This window comes from Homo sapiens, chromosome 19 (genome assembly GCF_000001405.40).
Source record: "Homo sapiens chromosome 19, GRCh38.p14 Primary Assembly".
NCBI classification, from domain to species: domain Eukaryota; kingdom Metazoa; phylum Chordata; class Mammalia; order Primates; family Hominidae; genus Homo; species Homo sapiens.
The window spans coordinates 39,861,501-39,882,156 of NC_000019.10; the positions used below are offsets into that span (position 1 = coordinate 39,861,501).

The 20,656-nt window shown below is 53.0% G+C and overlaps 1 protein-coding gene across 1 annotated transcript in view, besides 1 other annotated feature; it reads right to left on the reverse strand.

Annotated features, from left to right (window-relative positions):
• Positions 1–1,822: 1,822 nt before the first annotated feature.
• FCGBP (Fc gamma binding protein) overlaps positions 1,823–20,656 on the reverse strand; it is a gene marked incomplete in the record, with an annotated part of 71,312 nt that continues 52,478 nt past the window's right edge. The window contains 10 exon segments of the mRNA NM_003890.3: positions 1,823–1,996; positions 2,121–2,392; positions 5,237–5,620; positions 8,716–8,915; positions 10,578–11,151; positions 11,724–12,295; positions 13,888–14,431; positions 15,158–15,774; positions 16,163–16,736; positions 18,055–18,392. Coding sequence (NP_003881.2) covers positions 1,987–1,996; positions 2,121–2,392; positions 5,237–5,620; positions 8,716–8,915; positions 10,578–11,151; positions 11,724–12,295; positions 13,888–14,431; positions 15,158–15,774; positions 16,163–16,736; positions 18,055–18,392 — 4,085 coding nt within the window.
• Positions 4,929–6,128: an enhancer, noted in NCBI's record as "MED14-independent group 3 enhancer chr19:40357069-40358268 (GRCh37/hg19 assembly coordinates)". NCBI's record gives its function as "activates an origin of replication core promoter dependent on BRD2, BRD4, P300/CBP and CDK7 cofactors, and independent of MED14, by STARR-seq in HCT116 cells {active_cell/tissue: HCT116}" and the evidence as "EXISTENCE:reporter gene assay evidence [ECO:0000049][PMID:35650434]".

The window sequence follows — 20,656 nt, forward strand, 5'->3', positions numbered from 1 at the left end:
CCTCCCACCTCAGCCTCCTCAGTAGCTGGGACTACAGGCCTGCACCACCACGCTTGGCTAATTTTTAAATTTTTTGTAGAGACAAGGTCTTGTTATGTTGCCCGGCTGGTCTTGAACTCCTGGCCCCAAGTGACCTGTTTCTATTTTAAGGAAGATTCTCATGGCAGCTGTGACAATGGATTACAGAAGAGAAAGAGCGGACAGTAGGCTACCATGTTGTTGACAGAAGTTAGGATAATGGCTTGTACCAGATGGTGACAGTGGGCATAATAAGAAAGGTAGATTTCAGGTATGTTTTTTGTTTTTTTTGTCGAGATAGAATCTTGCTCTGTTGCCCAGGCTGGAGTGCAGTGGCACAATCTTGGCTCACTGCAACCTCCGCCTCCCAGGCTCAAGCAATTCTCCTGCCTCGGCCTCCTAACTGTGATTACAGGCACCCGTCACCATGCCCGGCTAATTTTTGTATTTTTAGTAGAGACAGGGTTTCACCATGTTGGCCAGGCTGGTCTCGAACTCCTGACCTCATGATCTGACCACCTGAGCTTCCCAAAATGCTGGGATTACAGGCGTGAGCCACCATGGGGCCTTGGGTATGTTTTGAAACAGTTCAACATGATTTGTTAAGGAACTGAGTGGAGGACAAAGGAGAGGAAGAAATAAAAAATAATTCCCCTGGCCGGGCACGGTGCCTCACGCCTGTAATCCCAGCACTTTGGGAGGCCGAGGCGGGTGGATCACAAGGTCAAGAGATCAAGACCATCCTGGCCAACATGGTGAAACCCCGTCTCTATTAAAAGTACAAAAATTAGCTGGGCGTAGTGGCGCACGCCTGTAATCCCAGCTACTTGGGAGGCTGAGGCAGGAGAATCGCTTGAACCCGGGAGGCAGAGGTTGCAGTGAGCCAGGATTGTGCTGCTGCACTCCAGCCTGGTGACAGAGCGAGACTCCATCTCAAAAATAATAACAATAATAATAATAATAATAATAATTCCCCTATTTTCTTGCTGCTGAACTTACTGGGTGGTAATTGTGCTATTTAAGGAGGTAGGGAAGACCCTCATGGGAAGGGGACAGATTTGAAAGGAAACAAAGACTTCAGTGTTTTACTTGTTGGTTGCATTAACACATTAAATCTTCACTCCAGCTCTATAAGTACTATCATTAACTCTACTTTAAAGATGAGAAAACTAATCCAGAGAGAAATTAAGTAACTTGCTAGGGTTATAAATGATAAAGCCAGAATCTATTGATCTTTCTCCATTTTCCACTCCTTCCCTCCATCCAATCATTTATCTTCTCTTTTTATTGAGACAGGGTCTCACTCTGTTGACCAGGCTGAAGTGCAGTGGAATGATCATGGCTCACTGCAGCCTCGACCTCTCAGGCTCCAGTCATCCTCCCACCTTAGCCTCCCAAGTAGCTGGGAATACAGGCAAGTGCCACCACGCCCAGCTAATTTTTATATTTTTTGTAGTGATGGGGTCTCACTATGTTGCCCAGGCTGATCTCAAACCCCTAGGCTCAAGCAATCCTCTTGCCCCAGCCTCCCAAAGTGCTGGGATTACAAGCGTGAGCCACCGTGCCTGGCCATTTATCTTCTCATCCATCCACTCTTCTAATCACCTATTGCCTCATCTTCCTAGTTCCCCACACACCATTTTCTCAATTCACCCATCCATCTCTTCATCCATCCATGCAATCATCCATCCATCCTCCCAGCCCCCAATAAATATTCATCACGTGCCAGATTCCCCAGGCACCTGATACCTGCTGTGCAGGAGGAAAGTCAGGGATGAGAAGGCATGAGACAGACACAATGACATGCAGCTTAGCTTAAGATATTTATTCAATGCTCTCACATTTGGCCTCTGTGACCCAGAAAAGCGGTAGAGCAGGGTAGGAGCACATGATGCATCCTTCAGCCACTGCAACCTCCAGAGGGACCAGGTCTTCTTCAGGAAATCTTCGTTCCTGGTGGATGACTGATCAGCCATAACTGCAAGACACAGACATTTAGCACCTCCGCTTGCAGACTAAACACCCACCCTGACTGCCCTCATCCCATGAGGATCCAGGTGCCTTTGCCCCAAGAAGCCTGGTTTCCATACTACATCCCTCACCATGGGGAGAAGTCCTGCGCTCTCCATTTCTCCATCGCTGGCTTCTCCTGGGAGTCATGCCAATCATTGGTCTGGTCCCCGTCAAAGTTTCCACAGGCCCCACACAGTTTCCCAGCATGGTCATTGCTGACAATCACAGCCACCTTCCCATTGGCTCCAAGCCACACCTGGACCCCTGCCTTCTGGCGGACTAGCAGGGAGCCATCAGGTGTACGACTCACGGACACAGATGCTAACTTCTCAGCTGGGAGATCCACTCGGAGACCATTCACCTGGTGGGGGATGCCCAGCAAACACAGAGGTGAGGCCACAGCCCCAGAATAGCTGGGTGTTACCAGGATGGAGGATGGAGACCCCAAACAAGATAAGTTCATGGAGCTAAATCAAAGAGGCAGGTGCTGAAAGAGATGAAGACCTGGATGTTTGCACTATTTGGAGCAATGGATACATGAGAAGATAGCTAGAGATCTGGATAGACGGATAAAAGGATGGAGAGTGGAGGGATGGAGAGACGTACCCATGGATCTACACAACACCCCAAAGTCGGTGGGGGAAGCATTTTGTACCAGACAGATAAGCAAACAGACAGACAAACAATCAAACCCCAGGGTCATCCTTATGGTTCTAGTTTTCTTTTTCTTTTCTTTTTTTTTTTTTTAAGATAGGGTTTTGCTTTGTCATCCCAGCTGGAGTGCAGTGGTGCAATCACAGCTCACTGCAGCCCTGACCTCCTAGACTCAATCAATCCTCCCACCTCAGCCTTCTGAGTAGCTGAGACTACAGGACTACAGATGTGTGCCACCACACCAGGCTAATTTTTGTATTTTTTTCTAAAGATAGGGTCTCACTGTGTTGTCTAGGCTGGTCTTGAACTCCTGGATTCAGGTGATCTGCCTCCCTCAGCCTGGTTCTAGTTTGCAAAATAAAACAAACTTTGAGCACATCCTGTAAGTTATTGGTTCCCTAACCAAAACAACGTTATCCTTTATTTTTGCAATGCTGATGTCTGAAGATAAGTAATGACTTTAGCAAATATAATAATCATGTGAGAAAATTACTTTTTCTTCATCATAGGCTGCAGATCCAGTAACTTTGTGAGTTTTTCCTTTACATAACTGTTGTCTATGTTAGTTGGTGAATTAACCCTTCTAAAGTTAGATTCCCTAGAGAAACTTCCTTAAAAGACTTGTCTTTTTTTTTTTTTTTTTTGTAAATCCTTCTTTTGTTTGTTTGTTTTTTGTTGTTGTTGTTGTTGTTTTGTTTTTTGGTTTTGGTTTTAGTTTTTTTTTTGAGATAGAGTCTTGCTCTGTCGCCCAGGCTGGAGTGCAATAGCGCGATCTCAGTTCACTGCAACCTCCGCCTCCCGGGTCCAAGTGATTCTCCTGCCTTAGCTGGGACTACAGGCATGTGCCACCATGCTCGGCTAATTTTTGTATTTTTAGTAGTGACAGGGTTTTGCCGTGTTGGCCAGGCTGGTCTCTAACTCCTGACTTCAAGTGATCTGCCCGCCTCGGCCTCCCAAAGCGCTGGGATTACAGGCATGAGCCACCATGCCCAGCCCTCTAAATGCTTTTGTATCTGAGTTTTCCTCTGCCAGATGATTGGAGAGATAGGTAGATAGATCTGAAAAGACAGATGGGTGGGTGGGTGGGTGGGTGGATGGATGGAGGGATGGATGGGTGGATGGGTGGATTGGTGGGTGGATGGATGGATGGACAGATGGGTGGGTGGATGGAAGAAAGAAGGAAGGGAAAAAGACTAGAAGGAAGGAAATAGGAAAAAGAGAAGGGGGTAGAATAGATGCTGGAAGGAAGGAGGGGAAAAGGGAGGATGGGTGTAGTGAAGGACAGATGAAGACTAGTGGATGGAAAGTCTCAGTAGGGTGCAAGCTTTCCAAGTATAACGACTGAGTCCGAGTCATCTCTGTTACCCAGCACATGGCCTGGCACAAAAGGAGCAGGGCTGAGTTTATTCACAAAACCAGCCTTTTACTGAGTACCCTCTAGGTGCCATGCCCTGATCTGGGTACTGGGAACAAACTGGTGACCAAGATGGACAGGATCCCTGCCTACCTGCGGCTTATAGTCCAGTGATGAACAAAGATGCTGAGCATCTTCTGGGAGTTTCCTTCTAGGAGTCTGGAATTTTGGTAGGTGGATACCAAAACCCCAGGCACTGAGACTCTATGAATTTCCCTGGCAGATGACATTTCATGTTTCATCACAACTTTGTTGCTGGAGGAATTAAGCACATCCTGTGTGACTCTACCGAGAAAGGACTCTCGGAAGCTTGCACATGATTTCCCCTGGACTTTGTGCGATGCACCTTTTCCCTGTGTCAATTTCACTTCGTATCTTTTCCCTATGATACATCTTAGCCCTAAGTACAACTATATGCTGAGTCCTGTGAGTCCTAGTGAATCACTGAACCAGGTTATGGGAAACCCTGACACATTATGTGACCCCCCACCCCCAGCCTTGACCAATCACGGAACTTCCTCCCTAAAGTCACAGTGATTGGCTCCAGGGGTGGGCATGTGACCCAAACTGGCTCAGTGAGATATAATCCTGGGTCTTTTATTGAACCATTTTCTGTTAAGGTAGATAAGCTGGTGGGGTGTAGGCCTGGGCAGCTGGGCGGGGGTCGTCTTTACACCTGTAAGTGGAAAGCCTGTTTGAGAACAAAGCTGATTTGGCAAATAGCAAGTCTCAAAGACGGAAGTACAAATTTCTGATAATATTGCCAGGGCACCTAGATCCAGCCATTCCTGAGGCTCTATCCTGGGATTTTCTAGCTACATGGACTAATAAATTCAATTTTGCTTAAGGCAGTTTGAATTTGGTTTTAAGTCACTTGCAACCCATAGAGTCTCGATTCATACTAATGTCAAAACTATTAAGTTGCTTGAGTATGTTTTTGCTCCTCTAGAACTCAGCCAGAACAGAGGGACCAAGTTTGAAATATTGAGATAAATACAAATCCAGAGACTAAACCGCAGAGACCTGGATAAAGAAAACAGATCGCAAGACAGAAAGGAAGCCAGGAATGTGGGGACACTGTAATCAGAAGAGCAAAAGCCCAGGGAGACATTCCCTACCCCCTACTCACAAACTTACCCACACACCCTTGTTTGGAGTCAACGTCACCATCCCATCCTGGAAGAAGATGTGGACCTGGCCCACAGCCTCCGTTTTGCCATGGCAGATCTGGACTTCGGCAACTACACGGTACCAGGGGATGGTATTCTGTAGTCCTGGGCAGCGGGAAGAGAGCTCATAGACACCAGGAGAGGTGGTGGCACCACGGGCCCCATCAAAGGTGGTGAGGTTGGCACCCACAGACAGGACACAGAGACCACGGGTGGCCCAGCAGTTCCGGGCTTCAGCCTTGACCTCACATACACGGCCTGGTGGGCAGCCAGCTGCCTGGCATGTCAGGCCAGAGCTTGAGGAACAGGAACAGCGCTCGCTGCAGTCTGAGGTCAGCAGGGAGGAGTTTACCTGTGCACAGAAAGGGGCCAGGTTATGGTGGTGGGATGGATCGCAAAAATGGCCACACTGCTTGAACCCTCTGTATCCATGCAGAGTGACTTTACAGACTCCCATTAAGAAATAGAGTTTATTTCCCCCTCCCTATGAATCTGGGTTGGCCGTAAGACTATATTTAGGTCAATGAAACACAGAAGAAGCAATGTTGTAACAGGTTTAAGCCTAGACCTCAAGAGACCTCACAGCTTCTCTTTCCTTCTCTCTCTCTCACATACACAGAATCCTGCCCAGCCACCATGAGAACAAGCCTGGGCTAGCTCCCTAGAAGATGAGTGACCCCATGGAACATAGATAACTCTTCCAGCTCAGGCCACCCTAGACCAGGCAGCCTTCAGCTGACCCACCAGCTGACTACAGATATTATACATGAGTAAGCCCAGAGGATAGCAGAAGAACCACCCAGCCAAGTCCAGCCTAAACTGCAGTCACAAAATTGCAAACTAAATGAATAATTGTTTTAAGCCACAACGTTTTGGAGTGATCTGTAACCCAGCAAAAGCTAACTGATACAGGTAAGAAATGAAGAAATGTAATTAACAAAATAAATGCCATCTCTACAATGATGATTTCCACATCTCTAGGCCAGACCTCTCCCATGAAGGCCAGACTCACAAATCCAAGACTTCGGGCATAGGCAGAGGGGTCAGGGCAGAGATGGGGAAGCATAGGGAGCTGAGGGGTTCAGAGGAGGCACCTAACCCAGCCTAGGGGATCAAGGATGGCTTCCAGTAGGCAGTGAGACCTCAAGGAAAGAGCAAAATTTGGCTCCATTTGCAAGCAATGCAAGTTAGTGCTGCATGTTAATGGCTAGCCTCGGGCTGACTTCTCTATGTCACAATTTCTTCATCTGTAAAATGGGGAAAATAGTCATAGTATCTATTGCATAGGATTGTTGTGATTATTAAATGAATTAACATCCAGAACATGGCCGGGAGAGGTGGCTCATCCCTGTAATCCCAGCACTTTAGGAGGCCAAGGCAGGAGGATTGCTTGAGCCCAGGAGTTTGAGACCAGCCTGGACAACATAGCGAGATCCCATTTCTACATAAAAATTAAATAGTCAGCCAGGGATGGCAGTGTGAGCCTGTGGTCCCAGCTACTCAGGAAGCTGAGACAGAAAGATCGCTTGAGCCCAGGAGTTTGAGGCTGTAGTAAGCCGTGATCATGCCACCGCACTCCTGCCTGAAAGACAGAGTGCAATCCTATCTCAATAAATAAATAAATAAATAATAACACCCATAACAAACATGGTGCATAGTAAGAGCTCAAAAAAATTATTAACAAGAATAAATCAATTCTTCAATTTAATTCATATTATTAAACAATTATTAGCTGGGCTACCTATTTGCACTGTTGTAAACTGCTATTTCTTTTTTTTTCTTTTTGACATGGAGTCTCGGTCTGTTGCTCATGCTACAGTGCTGTGGCACAATCTCGGCTCGCTGCAACTTCCACTTCCCGGGTTCACGGGATTCTCCTTCCTCAGCCTCCCGAGTAGCTAGGACTACAGGTGTCCACCACCACACCCAGCTAATTTTTGTATTTTTAGTAGAGACGGGGTTTCACCATATTGGCCAGGCTGGTCTCGAACTCCTGACCTTTTGATCCGCCCGCCTTGGCCTCCTAAAGTGCTGGGATTACAGGTGTGAGCCACTGCGCCCCGCTGTAAACTGCTCTTTCTTTTTACTGAGTGTGATGAACATGCAGGGCAAGGCCCAGTGCTCAGTGGGTATCTTTCCTGTATAATCGGGCCTGATCCTCAGATACCTATGGTACAAAGATGGTGATTAGTCCCATTTTACAGGTGAAGAAAATGCAGTTCAAGGAGGGGCCAAATGATGCCCCCGCCCCAAGATATCAGGTCCTAATCCCTGTAATGAGTAAATGTCACCTTATATGGGAAAAGTGTGTTTGCAGATGTGATTGAATTAAGGATCTGAAGATGGAAAATTTCTCCTGGATTATCTGAGTGAGCCTTAGATGCAATCACGTGTATCCTTATAAGAGAGAAGCAGAGGGAGGTGTTATGACACACTCAGAAGAGGAGGCAGAGGTTGGTGTGATGTGGCCACAACCAAGGAAAACCTGCAGCAACCAGCAACTGGAAGAGGCAACAAACAGATTTTCCCCTAGATTTCTTTTTTCTTTTCTTTTCTTTTCTTTTTTTTTTTTTTTTGACATGGAGTCTCGGTCTGTCACCCAGGCTGGAGTGTAGTGGCGCAATCTCGGCTCACTGCCACCTCCGCCTCCTGGGTTCAAGTGATTCTCCTGCCTCAGCCTCCTGAGTAGCTGGGATTACATGCACGCACCACCATGCCCGGCTAATTTTTGTATTTTTAGTAGAGACAGGGTTTCACCATGTTGGTCAGGCTGGTCTTGAACTTCTGACCTCGTGATCCGCCCGCCTCAGTCTCCCAAAGTGCTGGGATTACAGGTGTGAGCCACCGTGCCTGGCTCTTTTCCTTTTTTCTTTAGAGGTAAGGTCTTGCTCTGTCACCCAGGCTGGAGTGCGGCAGCGTGATCATAGCTCACTGCAGCCTCCAACTCCTGGGGTCACGCCATTGTCCCACCTCAGCCTCTTGAGTAGCTGGGACTATAGGTGTGCACCACCATGCCCAGCTAATTAAAAAAACAATTGTATGTTGCCCAAGCTGGTTTTGAATTCCTGGGCTCAAGTGATCCTCCCGCCTTGGCCTCCCAAAGGGCTGGGACTGCAAGTATGAGCCACTGGGCATGGCCTCCCCTAGATTTCTCTGGAGGGAGTGCCACCTTGCCAACACCTTGATGTCAGCCCAGTATTCCTGATTTCTGACTTTTGGCCTTCAGAACTGTGGGAGAATGAATTTCTCCTGTTTAAGCTACCATGTCTGCGGTAATTGGTTACAGAAGCTGCAGGAGACTAATAGGGGGAGGTTGCCTGCATCAAGTCACATAGCTGGGATATGGCGGTACCTCCTCTGTCCCCAGCCTTGAAGAGGTCAGCACAGAATCTCTGGGTCTCTCTCAAGCTCTTCTACCCTCTCTGCCCACCCCAAGCCCCTACTCACCGGCAAGTATCGGCCATTATGGGTGCAGCCACAATCTTGGACAGGGATGCAGACACCCTGGGAAAGCAGGAAGCGGTCGTCGCACTCACAGCCCTCAAAACAGCGGGTGGTGCAGCCCGTGAGGCCGGAGAGAGCCGCACAGGATCCCTGGCAGGTGCGAGTGCAGATGGAGTAGTGGCTGTGGGCGGGGCAATGGAGCGCTGCAGAGAGAGGAGGCAGGGCTGAGTCACACCTCCAAAGGGTCCTGGATAACCAAGGGGGCCTACTGCACACCCAGCCCTGTTTTAGGCGGTGCTGAGGACACAAATACTGAGAAAAGTCTCAACCCCAGTCCTACAGAGCTCACTTCCAGTGGGACAGACAGGAAGAGCCCAAAGTGAACATGCTGCATCAGGGAGTGTAGACAGAGAGGTCAGGGTCAGGGTGGGGAGGCACAGGCAGAGGGGTCAGGGCAGGCATGAGGGGGCAAAGGCAGAGGGGTCAGGGCCAGGGTAGGGGGCTACAGACAGAAGGGTCAGGGCTGGGATGGGGAGGGCACAGACAGAGGGTTGAGGGCCAGGGTAGGGGGCACAGGCAGAGGGGTCAGGACCAGGGTCGGGGGCACAGGCAAAGAGGTCGGGGCCAGAGTGGGGGCACACAGGCAGAGGGGTCAGCGCCAGGATGGGGAGGGCACAAACAGAGGGTTGAGGGCTGGGGTTGGGGGCACAAGCAAAGGGGTCAGGGCTGGGGTGGGGGGGCAAAGGCAGAGGGGTCAGGGCCGGGATGGGGAGGGTACACACAGAGGGTTGAGGGCCGGGGTAGGGGGCACAGGCAGAGGGGTCAGGGCTGGGTAGGGGGCACAGGCAGAGGGGTCAGGGCCAGGGTGTGGGGGGCACAGGCAAAGGGGTCAGGGCTGGGATAGGGGGGCACAGGCAGAGGGGTCAGAGTTGGGACAGGGGCTATATGGACCCAAGGGAATTATCTGTGGTAAGTCCCTGGTCTCTGGCTAAGCAATTGGTGGAGGTGTGGCTGTTCTGCAATGCCCACCAGGTTTGGGGAAGGAGCATCAGGCTGGGGGTGAAATGCTGATTTTATTTGGGAACACAGCAGGTAAGAGGGACGGTAAGGACACCCAGGGGAAGGTGTCTTGGACACCCTAACAATTACCACAGACTTTGTAGCTTAAACAGGGGAAATTCATTCTCCCACAGTTCTGAAGGCCAGAAGTCAGAAATCAGGATCACTGGGCTGACAGTCAGGAGAGAGTTCAGGGCTTGAGACAGACAGACCAGGTCCATGGTCAACAATGAGAACAAATCTAAGGCCGCGGGTGTGGATGACCGCCCTGGGTATAGGTCCTGCCCAGGGGAGACCTGGCTCTGACCTGGAGCCGAAGGGGCCATTGCTTTTTCCTGAGAGTCTCTGGTGATGTCCCTCCCATGGGGAATTGAATGAGAGGTACAGTCCTAGTTTAGCGGGGTGTTTAATAGCCTGCAGCCTTGTCTTGGGGGGATCTGAGGGGATATGGTCTTGTCGGGGGTAGAAGGAGGGTCTGTGTGAGCCACAGATCTCCCAACCCATCCAACTCTCCCTTTCAGGTCACTGCAGAAAGAGTCCAGAATAGAACACTAGGGAAGAAGAGAATTTGAGGTTTGAGCAGAGTGGGCCCAGACAGGAGGCTGAGAAGGAACAGTCAGAGGGATAGCAGGGAAGCCAGTGGACTATGCCGTGGGAGAAGAAGTTGTGTGGGTGTGGGGTGGGAGGGGGTGGGGAGGGAGCGCTTTTACAGGGAGAAACCACTCCGACATGCAAATAGAAGGAATGGGCCAGGAGGGGCCCCTACACCTGGTCTAGAGTCCTGCGAGGGACCCACGGACACTCACGGCAGAAGCTGTCTGTCCTCCAGGGCTTCACGGCCACGCCAGCTGCCTGACAGGCCGCCGTGTAGGCTGCCAGGCTGCGGCACAGGAAGGCTTTGTCACCCTTTTGCGCGCACAGGTCGTATACGCATTGGCGGAAGTACTCAGAGGGACTCAGCACCGCCTGGCAGGTCGCGAAGGGGCCCTGGGGGTTCCGGAGCTGCCCGCAGGCCTCGTTGCTCTCATAGGGTGCAGTCTCCTCTGCCAAGCACACTGGGCAGCCTTGGGGCCCGCAGCCCTCGCCACAGCCCTTGGAGGAGCCGGGCGCCCGCCATGCAGCCCCGAAGGTCTCCACACTGGACGCTGCTGAGCCATTGGGCAGGACAAAGTCGTCACTCCAGTTGCCATTGAAGTTCCCACAGAGGCCACAGAGCCGTCCACGGAAGGGGCTGGGGATGGACATGAGGAGGTGGGCATCGCCATCAAAGAGAAGCCGCAGCCCCTTGGTCGTCTGCAGAACCATGTTTCGGCCCTCGGCGGTCACCCGCACGCGGCCCACAGCCACAGGCAGGGCCACAGCCTCGCCGTCCACGGTGACCTGGGTGGAAGGGTCGGGTAGGTCAGGAACTCACAGAACCACAGGCAAGGCTGTCCTGTCCCACTCCCAGGCCAGAGCTGCATCTCCCTCAGTCCCATTAACGTCAGGTCATGTTTCCCTTAAACTTCTTGGGCCCCAGGCCTGGCGTGGTGACTCACACCTATAATCCCAGCACTTTGGGAGGCCCAGACAGGTGGATCACTTGAGCCCAGGAGTTCGAGACCAGCCTGGCCGTGACAGCAAGACCTCATCTCTACCAAAAATAAAAAATTAGCTAGGCATGGGGGGCTGAGGTGGGAGGATTGCTTGAGCCCAGCAGGTTGAGCCTGCAGTGAGCTGTGATCACGCCAATATACTCCAGCCTGGGTGACAGAACAAGACCCTGTCACAAAACAACACAAAAATCTCCCACGGTGGGACCATTCACCAAACCTTCCAGGGTAGGTACCAGAGTTCCCATGTTAGAGGAATGTCCCTCTCATACCTACAGGGTGGGGTCGTGTCTCCCTCAGAACCCCCTAGATGGGGCTGTGTTGCCTTCAGACCCCCAGGGCAGGCTCACATGGACTCACCTGCTGCCCCTGAGCTAGGCTCACAACCTGGCCAGCCACAGTAACCAGGAGGCGTTGGAGATCTCCAGCTGCATTCTTCTCAAGCACGATGGAAAAGTCCTCGTCCCCAGGCTTTGGGTGGCAGACTTGGGCCAAGACATAGGAGCAGGAGCCATGCAGGTCGTAGACACGGCCATCAAGGGTGATGTAGTGGATGCCCCCGTTGGCCAGGCAGCGGCCACAGCCTGTGGCATGACAGGCCTGGACACCATCCTCTAACCGGCACTCCTCATGGGGCCCACAGGCTGCGCCCTCCTGGCAGGTGACATGGCCACCTGGCCCACACTCACAGCGCCGCTCACACTCAGGGCCCGGGTAGAAGACCTCGCCCAGTGGGTAGTAGCGGCCATCATGGAGGCAGCCACACTGGCCCACGGGTACGCAGGTGTCACCACTGAGTACGAAGCCAGCATCGCAGACACAGCCTTCACGGCAGGCCGACTCACAGCCCTCGGGTGCTGAGAGGCTCGGGCAGCTCACAGGGCAGGAGTCACCGCAGAGCTCATAGTGGCTGTGGGCAGGGCACTGCAAGGCTGTGGGGACAAGGTGGGCATGAGCCAGGTAGGTGTTCGAGTCGGGGTCTTGGGAGGCCCTGAGTGGGAAAACTGCTCAGGCCAACTTGAGTGTCTCTGTGTATGCACATGTGATCCAGGACATCTAACTGGGGGACTCAGTGTGGGACCTGGAATGGGAGGGGACATGCCCTGGTCTCTCTGACCAGGTTATGTGTTAGCCTGACCAAATATTTCTGAAGATCAAATGACTCTGCTTGCCTGATTTTTATTTATTTATTTATTTATTTATTTTTTATTTTTTTGAGACAGGGTCTCACTCTATCTCACCCAGGCTGGAGTGCAGAGGCGCGCTTACTGCAGCCTCCACCTCCTGGGCTCAAGCGATCATCCTGCCTCAGCCCCCCGAGTATCTGGGACTACAGGTATGAGCCACCACATCTGGCTAATTTATTAGTAGTTTTCTGTAGAGATGGGGTCTCACTATGTAAGCCAGGCTTACCTGGGTGAAATGGATCACTTATATCTATTCGGGGTATGCAAGATCAGAACTGACTATGGGTACCTCAGCGTGTGAATGTGACTGGGGTGTGGGGCCACATGTATCTCAGGGTATGGCTCTGCCTGAGGGCACCCAGCTGTGGGTGTCTGACATGCAGCATCTCCCAGAGTCCTTCTGACATGGTCTGCCTAAGGGTGTGCCTGGGTGAAGTTGGCAGGATACCTGTGACCAGGAGACCTGCCTGAAGGGAACCGCCTAGGACTATCTAACCATGCATCTGTGTGGATCTGCCCAGGGCTATGTAAGAGTCCTGATTCTATCTGAGTGTATCTAACCAGTTAGTCTCAGTACAAAATCTGAGCAGATACCACTGAAGGTATGTGACTTATTCTATGTGACTAGGTGTATTTCAGTGTGTGCAACAGACCAAGGGCCTCTGACCAGCTGTAACTCACTAGGTCTTCCTAACCAGGGGTACCTTGCTGTGTGACTGAGGCAGAGTCAGCCATCCCAATCTACATGCCTTGGATATCTGAGAGCATGGATCACCAATCCTCAACAGTGTCCTGGACCCCAGGTTTCTGACTAGGTGTTTCTTTTCTTTCTTTCTTTTTTTTTTTTTGAGATGGTGTCTCACTCTGTTGCCCAGGCTGGAATGCAGTGTCACATCATGGCTCACTGCAACCTCTGCCTCCTGGGTTCAAGTGCCTCAGCCTCCTGATTAGCTGGGATTACAGGTGCCCACCACCACGCCCAGATAAATCTTGTATTTTTAGTAGGGACAGGGATTTCACCATGTTGGCCGGGCTAGTCTCAACTTCCTGACCTCAGGTGATCCACCTGCCTCGGCCTCCCAAAGTGCTGGGATTACAGGCGTGAGCCACCACGCCCACACTCTGACTAGGTGTTTCTAACTCTCTCTCACTGCAGTACCTTTCTTGGGGCATTTCAGTGTGTGAGTGCCAAGGTGTTTGGTGACAGGAGATACCAAGCTCAGAGGAAGGAAAGTGGCCCCTGAGCCCCATGGAGGAGGAAGGGGCTGCTGTCCTACAGTCCTGGGAAGGGCAGGGAGAGACCCAACCATGTGGACCATGCATGGAGCAGTACTCACGACAGAAGTCCGGCCGCCTCCACTCGCCGAGCTGGGCCCCAGCGGCCTGACAGGCTGCCACGTAGGTAGCCACTGCAGGACAGAGGCCTCCAGGATGGCCCTGAACTTGGCAGGCGTCCAGCAAGCAGCCCTGGAAGTACTGCGCGGGCGGCACAAGGCCGTGGCAGGGTGCCAGCGGGCCGTCGGTGGCGGAGATCACGCCGCAGGCGTCCGGGCCGCCGAAGGACTCCTGCTGCTCTGGGGTGCACGGCGACGGGCATGGCTTGGACACACATTCCCCGCAGCCCTGGGCCCCGCCCACCTGCCATCCAGCGGGCTTCCCGCCCACAGCCTTGAGGTCGTCTGCGGGGTCCTGGTTGTAGTTCCCGCATAAGCCACAGAGAGAGGCCGCGTACGCCGCCGGCACGCGCAGGCGCACGAAGCTGTCCCCATCGAAAGCCAGCGAGAGCCCTGAGGTTGTGGTCACCACCACGTCGGCGCCGCTCAGGTGTGCGTGCAGGAGCGAGTCCAGCTGGAAAGGCAGAGCCACGAACACGCCGTCGACCTGCGGGCGGGGGATGGCGGCGGGGGGATGGGGCGCGGTGAGTGGAGAGAACACGGGTTTGAATCCTGGCCCCACCACCTACTAGCTGTGGGACCCAGAGCATGTCACCTCCCCTCTGAAAATAATAATGAGCATCTATAGGCCGGGCCTGGTGGCAAAGCCTGCAATCCCAGTACTTTGGAAGGACGAGATGGGAGGATCACTTGAGGTCAGAAGTTCAGACCCGCCTGGGCAACATAGTGAGACCCCCATCTCTACAAAAAAAATGAAAAATTAGCCAGCATGGTGGCCTGCGCCTTTAGTCCCAGCCACTTGGGAGGCGGAGGCCAAGGCGGGAGGATGGATTGAGCCCAGCAGTTCCAGGCTACAGTGAGCCCTAATCCTGTCACTGCACTCCAGCCTGGGCAACAGAGTCAGGCTAAGAAAAGAAAGAAAGAAAGAAAAACAGAAAAGAAAAAACAAAGAGCCTCTATAGGCTCATGTCACTGACTCCTCATCCTTCTCAAAAACAGGTACTTTCTTAGACCAGTTTACAGAGGAATACACTAGGCTCAGAGAGGAAGAAGCCGCTGTGCCAAGCCACCAGGCTCCTAGGCGTACACTCTGACCCTTCCATCATGCCCCAGCTAAGCTGTGAAAGGGGCCCAGGGGAATGGTGAAGCCCTTACCATCTCAGGCAACCCCAGAGCTGGCACTTGCTCCTGTCTGGCCCACAGCCCTCCTCACCTGTAGCTTCCGGGGCCAGCGGGCACTCAGTGTCAGGCTGTGGTTGTAGATTTGCAGGGTGACACTGCGGGTGTAGCTGACAGCCTGGCTGCCCCGGTGCTCATTGGCTACAGTGACAGTGAAGTTCTCAGCCCCCAAGGGTGGTCCGTGGCAGGGTGCACTCAGCAGGTACTCGCAGGTGCCTTGGAAATCGAATCGGTGCCCATCCAGAGTGACGTAATGGGGGTCACCCCACGCCTGGCACTCAGCTGTGCTGACGGGCTGGCAGCCGTGCTGGCCGGATGGCAGGAGGCCACACACTTCACCCAGCCCACAGCTGGCAGGTGTGCAGACCAGCGAGCCACCCCCAGGCCCGCAGCGACACCACTGGGAGCAGGTGCCATCAGCCCAAAACTCACTGCCCGCCTCGTGGTAGGTGCCATTGGCCCAGCAGCCGCAGCCGTTGTTGAGGGGAACACAGCGGTCAGCACTTAACACGAAACCCGCGTCGCACTGGCAGCCCTCCACACAGGGGCCCTCACATACGGCTGGCGTCGTAAGGGGTGCAGGGGACGGACAGCTGGCTGGGCAGGGTGGGCCACAGACCTCATAGTGGCTGTTTTCTGGGCAGGTGATCTCTGTGGGCAGACGAAGGAGCAGGAAGGAGAGAAATAGAGAGAAGGGTGTCAGGGGTGGGGTCCCAGGACAGGGTGGGAGGAGACAGAGATACTAGGGAGCAGACAGAAAAAGGGAGAGACAGAAAACAAGACACAGAGAGGACACAGAGAAAGAAATGGGAGAGGGCGAGACACCAGGAGACCCAAGCAGAAACTGAGGGAGCTAGAGAATGAGAAACAGACAGATAGACACAAGCAAAGCGAGGCCCAGAGATGAGCACCAAGAGACAGAGAGACAAACAGAGAAAAAAGAAAACAAAGAGACCCAGAAGGACCAGAGTGAAACCAAACCAGCCCCGAAGAGACGGGACCCCGCCCCCCGCCCCACCTCTGCTCCCCCAACACTCACCACAGCCAACCTGTGCCCGCCAGTCTTCGATGACAACCCCAGCGGCCTGGCAGGCGGCCACGTAGGAAGCCAGAGCCTTGCAAAGAATGTCACGGTCCCCACCACCCATGCAGACGTCCAGAACACAGCCCTTGAAGAAGCTCTCAGGTGGCACATGAGCATGGCAGGTGGTGAAGGGGCCCCCTGTGCCAGATGAAAGGGGTCCGCAGAAGCCAGGGCCCTCGTACTGCTCCAACCGGTCCTCAGGGCACGTTGGGCAGGACCCCCGACATTCGTCCCAACACAGTGGGTCCCAGCCTGGGGCTCGCCAGCTGCCGCCCCAGATGGGTATGGAGGGAGCCAGTGTGCCATTAGGGAAGACCTGGTCATTGTTGGGGTTGCGGTCCATGTTACCGCAGAGCCCGCACACTGCGCCATGATAGCTGCTGGGGAGCGTCACGTCTACCCGCCAGTTCCAGTCATAGCTGACTTGCAGTCCAAAGTCAGCCACCAGCAGTGCCTTCGATGCACCCTGGGCCACTGAAATCCGCCCGTCGGCCACGGAGACAGGCAAGGCTGTGAGCACACCGTTCACCTGGGGGAAGGAGGGAAGGCAAACGGGTCACTGGAGGTTTTACGGCCCCAGCTCTGGCCCTCTGCCTCCCTCTCTCTCATCCCACCGGGGGCTGGGAGAGGCCAGGGCCTTCCCCCGAGAGTTGGATTGTCATCTGACACACTGTGGACAGTTGTTCTAGCCCAGGTCTTGGGGAACGAAACCTCACTTTACTTTTTCTAGATCTTCTCCCTTCATCTCTATCTCCCTCTTCTGTCTCTCTGTCTCTCTGTCTTTCTGTGTCTCTCTCCCTCTGTCTTCACCTAAGTCTATATCACTTGGTCTTCTCTCTCTCTCTTTCTGTCTCTCTGTCTATCTCTCCCTCCTCTTCCCTTCCTCCCTCCTACCCTCATTCTCTGTGTGTCTCTTCCACTCACTCACCATCATTTATCCAGTGCCTACTCTGTTCCATCCCTCATTTTCTCTCTGTGAGCTACCATTAAGCTCTATCTCCATTTCCCTGGGCAGAAAGGATAGCCCATCTGTCTCCTCTGATCTCCCTACATATCTCCCTATATTTCTTTCTTTCTTTCTTTTTTTTTTTTTTTTTTTTTGAGACAGATCCTCACTCTGTCACCCAGGCTGCAGTACAGTGTCGAAATCTTGGCTCTTGTAACCTCCACCTCCCAGGTTCAAGTGATTCTCCTGCCTCAGTTTCCAGAGTAGCTGGGATTACAGTAGCACCACCACACCCAGCTAATTTTTGTATTTTTAGTAGAGATGGGGGTTTCACCATATCGGCGAGGCTGGTCTCGAACTACTAACCTCAGGTGATCCACCCGCCTCGGCCTCCCAGAGTGCTGGGATTACAGGCGTGAGCCACCGCACCTAGCCCGATCTCCCTGTATTTCTCTCTGTGTCCTGGTCTCTGGGTCTCTCACTTGTTCCCTCACAAACACTCAAACGACTGTTCACCTGGACTAGACTCTGAGCTCAGCATGTGACATGCACGGCCTTGCTGTGGGGGAGGCCCTGATACGATGCCCACTTCACAGATGAGGAAACTGAGGCCTACCAAGTGAACTGCCCAGCATCACATAGCTCATAAGGAGGAGAGGCTGGATTGAAACCCAGGTCTATAAAAAAGGCAAATGCTGAGGTCCTATGTTAAAGCCCTTTGCCAGGGGCTAGGCTCATTTAATTCCCAGTAACAGGGTGACATTTTTGCTGCAATTATTCTTTTTGTTGACAGTTTGTTTCAGGCCCAGGTGAAGACAAAGAGCCTTGAGCTGCTAACTGTGGTCGTCAGGATCCCTCCTGCCCTCCCGGGGACCTCAGGGGACCATCCTGCCACACATACCCGGACTTTGCCGATCTCGTCCTTGTGGATGGAGATGTTGGTGCCGAGGGCAGCCACGGTGACGACTCTCACGTAGGACACAGCAGGGTTGCCCCGGTTCTGGTTCTTGGTGGTGACGGTGAAGGGTGTCAGGCCCTGGGTGCTGACCCCCGGGCAGCCAGTTGTTGCCAGCACATAGTTACAGGTGCCCTGGAAGTCAAACTTCCGGCCATCGAAGGAGTGGTAGTGTGGGTCGCCCCACAGCCAGCACGTGGCCTCATAGTTGGGCAGGCACACGCCCTGGCCACCCTGCTCCTTGCATGTCTCCTGTGGCCGGCATGTCACGCCGTGGCACGGGTCTGGGGACAGAAGAGGGAGGAGGACCTTGAGGGGCTGCCCATTGTAAAGCATGGCCGCTCCCTCCATATCTACCCAGTCTGTGCCAGGGATCTGAGGGTTACTGCAGGCAAGACCACATTCCAGAGTCCTCATGTCTAGGACCCACTTCCTATAGTTTGCTTTTATATTTTCTTTTGTTTTGTTGTTTTTTTGAGATGGAGTCTTTCTCTGTCACCCAGGCTGGAGAGCAATGGTACAATCTCGGCTCACTGCAACCTCTGCCTCCTGGGCTCCAGTGATTCTCCTGACTCAGCCTCCTGAGTGGCTGGGATTATAGGTGCCCACCAGCATGCTTGGCTGATTTTTGTATTTTTAGTAGAGACAGGGTTTCACCATGTTGGCCAGGCTGGTCTCGGGCTCCTGACATCAAGTGATCAGCCAACCTTGGCCTCCCAGAGTGTTGGGATTACAGGCATGAGCCATCATGCCCAGCCTGCTATTTTCAAGACCAGCCCCTGGGAGTCGCACACAGCTGACACTGAGGCCCCATGGGGGACTGTGTCTAAGTCTCGGCTGTCAAAGGTCCCATACCGGAGACCTGGGCCCCAGAGGTCTGTACAGCCAAGACCCAGTACCTAGAGTTCCCCTACCTCTGAGACTGAGGCCCTGCCATTTGCTGTGTGAGACTGAGATCCTGGAGTCCACGCACCTAAGACCAAGGCAAAGACCAAGGCTCTGGGTCTGTGTTTAAGGTGCACTTTCCATGGTGCCCTTGCTTGAGATTTCACCCTGTTCTTGTATTTTAAGTTTTATAGGAACCTCACCGTCTTCACTTACATAGGCTACGGCTGCTTTCACACCACAGTGGCAGAGTGAGTAGTTGTGATCCAGAAGGTATAGCCTGCAAGCTTAAACACTTACCATCTAGCCCTTTAGAGAAAAGGTGCACTTGACCCCAGTTGAGATCTGTGCCCCAGGGGTCCTTGTGTCTGCGATGCCAGCCCTGAGAGCATCCATGTCTGAGATCCCAGCCCCAGGGTTCTCTGTGTTCAAGACCTGGGCCCCAGGCCAGGTGTGGTGGCTCAGGCCTGTAATCCCAGCACTTTAAGAGGCTGAGGTGGGAGGATAGCTTGAGCCCTGGAGTTTGAGACTAGCCTGGGCAACATAGTAAGACCCCATTTCTACAGAAAGATTAATAAATTAGCCAGGCGTGGTGGTGTGTGCCTGTAGTCCCCCACTACTCGGGAGGCTGAGGCGGGAGGATTGTTTGAGCCCAGGAAATCGAGGCTGCAGTAAGCTACACTACACTCTAGCCTGGGCCACAGAGTGAGACCTTAGCTCAAAAAAAAAAAAAAGATCTAGGTCTCAGGGTCCCCCATGCCTGAGACCTCAGCCCCCTGGACATCTCCACATTTGATAGAAATTGGTCTCCAATTTCTCTAGGTCCTGGAGGCCTCTATGCCCAAGACTAGGGCCCTGGGGTGATCTTCTGGCAAGAGCCCAGTGCCAGGGTCTCAGCAGGATTTGAAATGTTTGAGACCCTAACTAGCTAAGTCTCATGGGCTGGGCTCCCTCAGTGCAAGACTCCATCCCTGAGGGTTGCTGTATTCAAGACAGTAGCCTTCATCGTGTCTCACTGCTGAGGCCCTGTCCTGGGGGGTTTCTGTGTCCGAGACCCTGTTCGTACAGTTACTACATCTGTGACCCCAGCTTGCGGAACCCCTGTGTGGGAGAGGCCAGCCTTCAAACGTCTCCTTCCTCCTGTGTCCATTATCAATGTACCGCCTCTCAGCTTCAAATACACCCACGGAGTTAAGCTTTGTCAACAGAGGGCGCCGGAGAGTCACTGCAGGAGGGAGGGTCTCCGGGTCTGGCTTCTAGCCAGTTTGGTCCTTTCAGCTCTGGCCAGGGTGCGGGGCCACATTCAGCGAGTGCCACTGGCCGCAGCTGGCTTCCCAGTGAGGGGTTCCCTTCTTGCCAAGTCCAGCCTGCAGAAACCTCTGTGCCACCCAGTGGGCTACAGCTGCAGTGAGACTGGACTCAGCCTTGGGGCTGATTCTCCCCTCCTTGAAGAGGAGGGACCAATTTCTCCCTTCCATGAGGCTTTTAACTTAGCCCTAGAGTGGCGGCTACTTCCTGTGTGTGCTTTGGTGGTATTCTTTAGTGCTCTCTTTACCGTTTCTTATTTCTGTTTATTTGTTTGTTTGTAAAGAGACAAGGTCTTGCTGTCTTGCCCACGCTAGAGAGCAGTGGTGCAATCATATAGCTCACTGCAGCCTCGAAA